Genomic DNA, 8,824 nt, shown 5'->3' with positions numbered 1-8,824 from the left:
TTCAGTGGGTTAAAGAATATATTTAAAATATTATTACATATTTAGAATGATCAAAATTTGAGAAAATCAAGTTTCAGTAAACAAATTAATTTTTTCTCTTCAAACTAAAGCACATGAGCTAAAATATAGTTCTAAAATTATCATAAAGGCAAATACTTTGTTTTATGACAAGTGTTTTACTTTATTAGAAAATTTATATCTAAAGAAAAAATATTTTTGCAATAATAAATATGATGCTTGCTGTTTTAAATTAAACAGTAAAGTTAAAGGATTGTTTTTAAAAATTGAACTCGATCTTTCTTGTAATAATCTTAAAACATGTCAAGTTATTCCTACAACAATTATTCCTATTTAATTTGGGTAAATTTTTTCTTGAAAGCAGTTTCAAAATATAATATTCTTACAAGGTCTTGTGATTTTGAAATGTGGCATATTATTCAGCTTTGGGTCTTTGATGTGTGTTTTCCCCTCAATCCATGCTCCAACAATTCTGTCATACAGAGAACTGAAAATTAAGTTATTCTCACCAGCAATACTCCCCCACAAAGAATCTATCAAACCATAGATATAAACCTCAGAACAATTCCTGCCAGGTTTCTCATGCAAATGCTGCAGAAAAACTTACAAGAGCACTTTAAGATATTGAGAACCCTTCAATACAACCCAGTATAATAACTTTTACTTGCTAATTTCTATGGGTCAGTTGCAAAGGAATAGACCTGTCAATCAGTTTCAGATGTAGCAGAATTTGTCTGTCTACAAACAGGGATACTTTGTCGTTGCCATAGAGACTAATCCTCCACTTTCCTTCTGTTGACACAGCTAGTCACAGTCTAAACTACCTGATCACACTTTTAATAGGCAGCTGACTGGAGTACCATAAAATGCTCAAATCAAGTTTGCAACACTTGAGGCACACACTGTTGCTTTTTAAAAATATTATAATTTAAACCTTGTAATATATTGAGTCCTATTTGTTCCATTACTTAAGCAGAATATAGAGAAATATTTATTACTTTGTTAAATGCCAAAATAAATACTGAATTCCAATAAAATAGACAAGAAATAAATATTGATATATTTGATAAGGGTTAGCATTTTTTCACTCTACACAGCTTAATAAATAGAATAAAATAGATTTCTTTGTTCTTTAGTATTATCTTTCAAACATATATTCATGTCATCTGGCAGTTCAGCAATCTTAAACATTAAAATAAAAAACATAAATCTTTGAAATTATTACCAGGAATATATTCAAGTTTGAAAAATTCAAAATTGACATTGATGTAAATTTTATGCAATATTTTATATTTATATACATTAAGTTAAATATATCTTTACTTTTCAGCTAATCTGACCATATTCTTTATTTCAGCTTAATTAGTATCAAAATATTTAACATTATTCTGAGTAAACTGTTTCATTTTCAGACACTGTAAATAGTTAATCCTTAGTTTCTGGCCAAGTGTAGCTTGACTCTTAAACTACTTAAGACAGTTGTTCAAATCTCTATAAAATCTCTCCCAGCATTTTCAATATGTTGCTTATATTTTTCCTCGTGAAGCATTACTTTCATTGAAAGTTGTTAAATTATAAAGTTCCACTTAAGGTTTCCAAAGGTTGTTGAACTACAACAGCCTGCCCTTTCAACATATTTAATAAGAAGTTTGTAGTGATTCCTTCAATTAAGAAGGAAAATTGATGTGTATCATTAATTATGTCAGTAGAAATCATAAATCATCACTGAGTGCTGCAATTAATTATTTTTAAATCATGTGAAGAAAAATGACAGACACAAGATAAATCCATAGGCTCTTCAGATGAGAGGGATGTGGGAGGAAAAATATGAAGAAGAAAGGATACTATAAATTAAAAGCAATTCATAAATAAATAGCCACCTTATTTTTCTACTGTAGATCAATTTGAAAAATGATATTGGGACTACTTAAAACATGAACATTATACATCTTTGTTAGTTCAGTAACATTTGAGTTTCGAGAATGGATTATTTATCCACTTTATTAATTCACATCACACTGACACAAAGCAAAATAAAACTTCTCAGTCCAGATGCAATTTTTTTTAGAATAACAGTGAGAAATGGTTAAGCATGTGTTTCATTTAAGTGAATACTTTTTCACCAGTTTTTGTCCTTGTACTATTTAATTCAAAAACATACATTCTTAACATACACACAACTTGTTGAAAAGCCTTTCAGTTTTAAAAATAACTTTAATGAATAGAAACTGCATTACTAATTTTCAGAGTTACTGGTTTAGTAAGTAATTCACTAGTTTTTACTTTATATATACTTAATGCATCCCACTCTAAATCCCTTTGATTTCTGGACTTTTGTGTTGCCAAACACTTCTTCTATATGACATCATAAACTGCTCAATCTACAGATTTTTTTGTCTATGTTAGGATAAAAAAGACAACACATTGAGATGGAAATTGCTTCTGAACAACTGTTTTTTAAAGTTTTATCATTAATTTAAATATTTCTAATAACTGACATTTAGACCTAAACGTTACGTAGTGTAATTGGGAGCAGTTCTTATACTCAATGCTCCCCCATTTCCCCCTGCTCCTACCCCTCCTCTATTATATCCTTTGGGCAATTTCATAGCCTCAATTATCACCTGTAACGTTTAATTCATGAATATGTAGCCCAGCTCCAAGCTTTCTCTAGAGCTCTAGTCTCAATTTCTCACTCCCTCCAGAGCAAAACATTCTGGATGCTTTACTAGAACTCCAAAAGACATTATGTCCAGAAAAGAACTCATTAACTATACAAGCCTAGTTCTCCTCTTGTATCCTTAATTGTAGTCATGCTATTAATAGCCTCCTAGTAATAGGCTCAAAACCCTTAATATATCAGAGACCACCCTTTTCTTTATCTATGACATTTGGTCCTCATCAAGTTTGGTCACATTCATTCCTTCCTCTTTACTCCCCAAATCTCTTTGCTTATGCAATCCATTATTTTCTTTTGTCTGTTTTACTTCAGTTGCTCCCGAACAGGTCCCTTACCTCCCAGGTTTCCGTCCTACTATTTAACCTTCACATTTCTGCCCAACAAATTTGTTTACAGTCCAGCCCCAAACTTTATTCACTGCTCAAAAAACTTTCAAAGACCTATGTTAACAATTTAATAAACTCCTACTAAAATATTTTAAGAGGTAAGATAGAAATAAATAAAAGGAAAAAATATTGAATGATGTCTCAGTTCCTCAGCCTGACTTGATCTTCAAATCTCCCCACATTCCCACCTCTGGCCACAACATCATTTTTTATTATGATTTTTATCACCCCCACAATCCCCCACCCTGGCTAGCCCCTCTAATAAATGTGATGTAGTAGACATAGTATGATGAGAGAGTGTCTTAGTCTATTTTATGCTACATAACAGAATACCACAGAATCGGTAATTTATAATGAAGAGAAATGTATTGGCTCACAGTATCAGAGGCTGGGAAGTCTAAGGTCAAGGTGCCACCAGGTTTGGAGTCTGGTGAGGCCATTCTCTTCTTCCAAGATAGTGCCTTGCATGCTGAATCCTCTGGAGGGGAGCAAGGCTGGATCCTCACATGGCAGAGGGTGAAAGGGACAAACTGGAGAGCCCACTCCCTAAAGCTCTTTTTATCTTTTTATAATGACATGAGGGCTCTGCTCTCAGGACCTAACCATCTTCCATTGGGCCCCGCCTACCAATATTGTTACAATGGCAAGTAAATTTCAGCATGCATTTTGGATGGGGACAAACATTCAAACCATAGCAGGGAGTAACATTGGAAGAAAAACAGTCTTTTGTTAATGTTGTTCATTGATGCAATCCTAGGCCTAGAACATAAGAATTCTCAAAAACTACTTGCTTGGTATTTCAACTGAAACATTTTTCATCTGAAAGGGGAGATTTGATTTGATTTACAGACCACTAGTGGGCTTGACAAAATAAGTGATGGCATAATTTTTTAGACCAGATCCAGTTTTTATTCTTTTGAGATAAGCAATGAGACAGGAATTTAGGAACTGAGATGTAACAAAGTAAAAAGATTCTTCATTAGCTTTATATATTCTCCTTCTAGAAAAGAGTGTTTTGACCACCTTTACAGTTTCCATCAGAACAAAAATGACTGGTGACTGTAATATCTAAGAGGCAAAACAAAAGGTCATGTCCTTCTTTCTTCTTTAATGGTGATACTAAAAAAAAAAAGCTGGTGCAATATTGGGAATAATTTTATACAGGAATGTATAAACAATTCATATCCTATGTGTTGCAGTATATTCAAAATGTTCTTCTGAGAAAGGTTCACAGAGTCCTAAGCATGATTTATTTCAGCACAATAGACATGATTCATGTTGTTCCTCCCATTTTTGGCTCACAGATAAAAAAATTACTAATTATATTGTGAGCATATAGTATATGCAAAAATTATAGGTGAATTAAGACTATAAAAGAGAATTTATTTGACCAGTAAGCTGTACCATTATTCATTATCATTATTAGTTGTATGATCGTTATATAAATCACATACACACATACACACACAGACAATAGTCTTCTATTTTATCTTTTAATACTACCAAATTTGAAGAACTCTTCTTACTATTAAAAGAGTTGATTTTGAAGAGTGTATTTCTTAACACATTGTAGATGTTCAATAGAAGTTTACTCCTTTTCTCCTTTCTATTCAGTCCATTCTCTACCTACATTAAACTTGCCTCTTGTCTGAATACACTTTGCTTATATAAATGGCTCTGCCTATCATGCCCTTTCCTCTGTTCCAGCCTGTCCAAATCCTACCTACTCTTCAAGCATGAATTCAAATGACACCTTTTCCATAGTTGCTAGTTCCTACATCTTTGGGGATTTATCACTTTGGGGATTTACCTCATCTCCATTGTTATGGTCTAAGATTGATGATAAAATTATATCTGACTTATTTTTTTAATGACTCCCCTCTCCTTAACATCTAATTCACTGCCCTACAACCAAGCATGAAAATCCTTAGCGAACAAATAAATATTATCTGAACATAACTTATTGCCATCAAGCAAAATGAGAGAGAAGTTAATTAAAAGTCACAAGTCCAGCAGTTCCCATAGAGTAGCAACAGACTCCAGCCCTCTTTTCCTGAATCCTAGGACTTTTGAATCTACATTATGTTACCCATTTATGAAGGAAAAATGAGATTTGCCATTCTTAATTTGAAATATATATCCAGTTCTTAAAACAGACAAATTGGTCAGGTCTACACTGTAAATTAAAGTGGAAAATTATTTCAACTGTCTGTGTAATTAAAGTTCAATCAAGCAACGAAAGAAGTATTTTTACCTTGAATAATCCTGCAATTACCTTAATTATCCATATTCTTTTGCACTTTCTATAACAAAAAATATCCAAAACAATAAATTCTATATCTGATTATCTTTAATAAAATGAATTAAATATGCTTCTGTTTAAAAAAAAAACTATGATAATCCCTTTGCTGAATATACTGAATCTGAAGAGGTAGAGTCACTTGTCCATTGGAAACACTAAAAAAAGTAAAGAGAAATATTCAAAATGCATTACAAAATGCCAATACCACACATGTAACTTGTTAATACTTTTTTCTGTCATGTTCACATTATGTTTCTGAACATAAGATGGCTTTGGCTCCTTTAAGAGCCCAATTGTTAGACTGGAAAAATGTCTCTGCAGCCTTGAAAGTTCGCTGAGTCTCCTTCAGTAAAGAAATAGAACTTCTTTACTAAAAATTAATAATCTTTTATTGTGGTTTATTAAATCATTTTTATCAGAAATAGAAATCTAAAATAACAAGAGTGTCTTAGTCAGTTTGGACTGCTATAACAAAATATCATAGGCTGGATGGCTTAAACAACAGAAATTTATTTTCTCATAGTTCAATAGGCTAGAATTTTACTGTCAGAGTGCCAGCATTATGGGGTTCTGGTGAGGTATCTCTTCCTGCCTTATAGATGGCAGCCATCTTGCTCGGTGCTCACATCCTCATCTTTGTGCATGCCTGAGGAGAGAGATGTCTCTTCTGATAAGGATGCTAATTCCATCATGAGGGCCCTACACTCATAACCTCATCCAAACTTAATTACCTCCGAAAAAGCTCATCTCCCAATACCATCACATGGGGATTAAGGTTCAACCTATAAACTTCGAGGCAACACAAGTCAATCCATAGCAAAAGGTATATAATTATTGTATAATTAATTTAGAATTTAATCAATGACTGAAACCCGATTAGAAATTAAGACATGGGGATTTAAAAAGAAATGCAGGAGCTATTCTGTAGAGTATTTCCTTTTCTTAGTCTCTCATTTACTTCTACATTTTCTCTTAACATTAACATGGAAAAAGTCATCAAGAAAAATGAGAAGAATTGCAAAATATTGGAACTATGGAGTCAAAAAGTTGCAAGGATGGATCTAGGTTCCTAGATTCAAACAAATCTGCAAGAGTTTTTGTGGTGAATTCAAGGGTATGCTAGTAAATACTTAACAATTGGATATTTTATTTTTTTAAAAAAAGTCCCAATTTGTAGTATTGCTGATTTCCTTAGCTAAATATTCTCACCATGGCCAAATTCTAGCTACCAATGTTACGTCGCTGAATGAAAAGTTAGGAAAAGATGCACACAATTGACTTTTACAATCCAGTGAGAGTTGGCTTCACCATAGCACTGAGTGAAGAGATTTAAAATCTTCAAGTCCAATACAATGTATAATGTCGTCTATTAATATAAATACTGAATTTTAAAAAATGTTTTCAAGGGCTGCAAATGAAGACAATAAATATAAGTTTTTTAGTAAGACAGTATTTTTTCCTGAATAATAATATTTCTTTAAATCTTGTCTCAAATGTTGCATCCTTTATTGGTTTGTCCTTTATGGAAATGATTCATTGCATAGTATTAAAGTCCATTATTGAAAAATTATAACTAGATCGTTATTGTGATCAGATCACTTACATATTTCAATCCCAGACCAAGCAATTTATAGCTATAAAGTGATGGTGGAGACCACTCTTACTCAAACTTTGTTCAATTTCATAGAAGCTTGAAAATATGAAAACAGAGTTTTTCCAAGTTAAAATAATATCAGAATATACCAGGGCATCCATTAATGCAGTATGGGGCTTAACAGAGCTACATTTAGTTAATCTGCATTAGAGTGATCTGCACTAGAGTGTACCTTTGTAATTTATCACATTGAATTAACTGAAAGTAGTTACAAGATAATGTATAATGTCTAAAAATAACAACCCACTTTTAGAAAGTAATAATGTAAAACCTATCTAAATAAGCCCTACATCAATAAATATAATAAACTCTTACAAATACAATAAACTCCTGGAATATTTGTAAAGAACTAGACTTTACTCAACATCTTTTCTCTCCTTCTTCCTTATTAACAAAATCTGCATTTGTTGGGAGTGGAAACATGGTCAACTTTGTTGCCATTCCCAACAAATTATGAAGTTCCTCAGAGTCCTTGACTCTTATCTCTACATTTCTCAGCAACAGAGCAAAATAAACTCATATCTTACTCAAATCCAGCTTAAGATAATTTCCTCTGGTATCTGTTACATGCAGCCAAAATCAATCTGTAATTGATATACATACACCTTGATGCTTAGAAGTGGTAGGCTGCAAGTAAAAAACTCTAAAACAAGAAAATAAAATGTAGATACAAGGACTCAGATATGGCACATGACCCTTGATGTGTGGTAGCAAAAAAAGTTTTGTCAAGTTAACAGCTCCTGTACCTTAAAATCAGTCTACATACAAACCAATTATGCAGAGAAAGAGGAAATGGTGGGGAAATTTTAGAATGTTAGTACATGCAAGCACATTCTTGCAGCTCTTCACAAAGTCCTGTAAGAGAGAACCAAAGGAGCTAATCAGTCTGCAAGCAGAGATGTTAAGATATACCATTTTGCTAAGAAAACTGCTGTCTTAGTCTAGTCAGGCTGCTGTAACAAAAGACCATAAGCTGAGTAGTTTTTATAAAAGCAGAAAATTATTTCTCACAATTCTAGAGGCTGGGAATCCCAAGATAAGAGCATCAATAGACTTAGTGTCTGGTGAGGGCCTGTTCCTAGTTTATAGATGGCTCCTTCTCACATGTGAAAGGGTGTGGGGTCTTTCCTGGCCTCTTTTATAAAGACATCAATCCCATTCGTGAGGGCTCTACCTATATAACCTAATCACCTTCCAAAAGCCCCACCTCCTAATACTGTCACCTTGGGGGTTAGAATGTCAACATATAAATTTGAGGGGGACACAAACATTCAGACCATAGCAACTGCCCTCCTAGAAAATCTACATAAACTGAAGTTTTTCTTACTTTGGAGATGTACAAGATCACAAAAGCAGTTGTTCCTGTACTCCAAATAGAATGACTTAAAAATATCAGGCTTAGACTTCCAGTCAGTGACTTCTTAGACCTACCAGAGAACAGTTACAGGAAAAACTGCCACTCCAAATTCGGAGAGACAAGAGATTCCAGAAAGTTACACAAGATCTGGAGCAGAAGTCACTGGAGTATAAGCTGGTAGGAAACTTAAGTGGCAATTTTGATGAATTGAGGGATTTTGAGTGTGAATTAACACGCGAGTCAGGAAAACTCTGAGAGTTTCCTGGGTTTTATTTCCAGGAATCTTACTGGATTCTCAAGGTAAAAATTTTGAAAAAAATTTCACATGGCTCTGGCAGGAGGAAGGAATGAGTAATTATTTTGAAATATGGCTGAGGCATTCTGCATTACCAATACCTACTTTCCCAGGGAAAAGACTACCTGAGCC

The 8,824-nt window shown here is 33.3% G+C and overlaps 1 annotated feature.

Annotated features, from left to right (window-relative positions):
* Positions 438 to 1,052: an enhancer, noted in NCBI's record as "VISTA enhancer hs269". NCBI's record gives its function as "enhancer in: hindbrain (rhombencephalon)[10/12] | midbrain (mesencephalon)[10/12] | forebrain[10/12]" and the evidence as "EXISTENCE:transgenic organism evidence [ECO:0001131][PMID:17130149]".

This window comes from Homo sapiens, chromosome 5, assembly GCF_000001405.40.
Source record: "Homo sapiens chromosome 5, GRCh38.p14 Primary Assembly".
NCBI lineage: Eukaryota > Metazoa > Chordata > Mammalia > Primates > Hominidae > Homo > Homo sapiens.
This window is presented reverse-complemented; position numbering and strand designations above follow the sequence as displayed.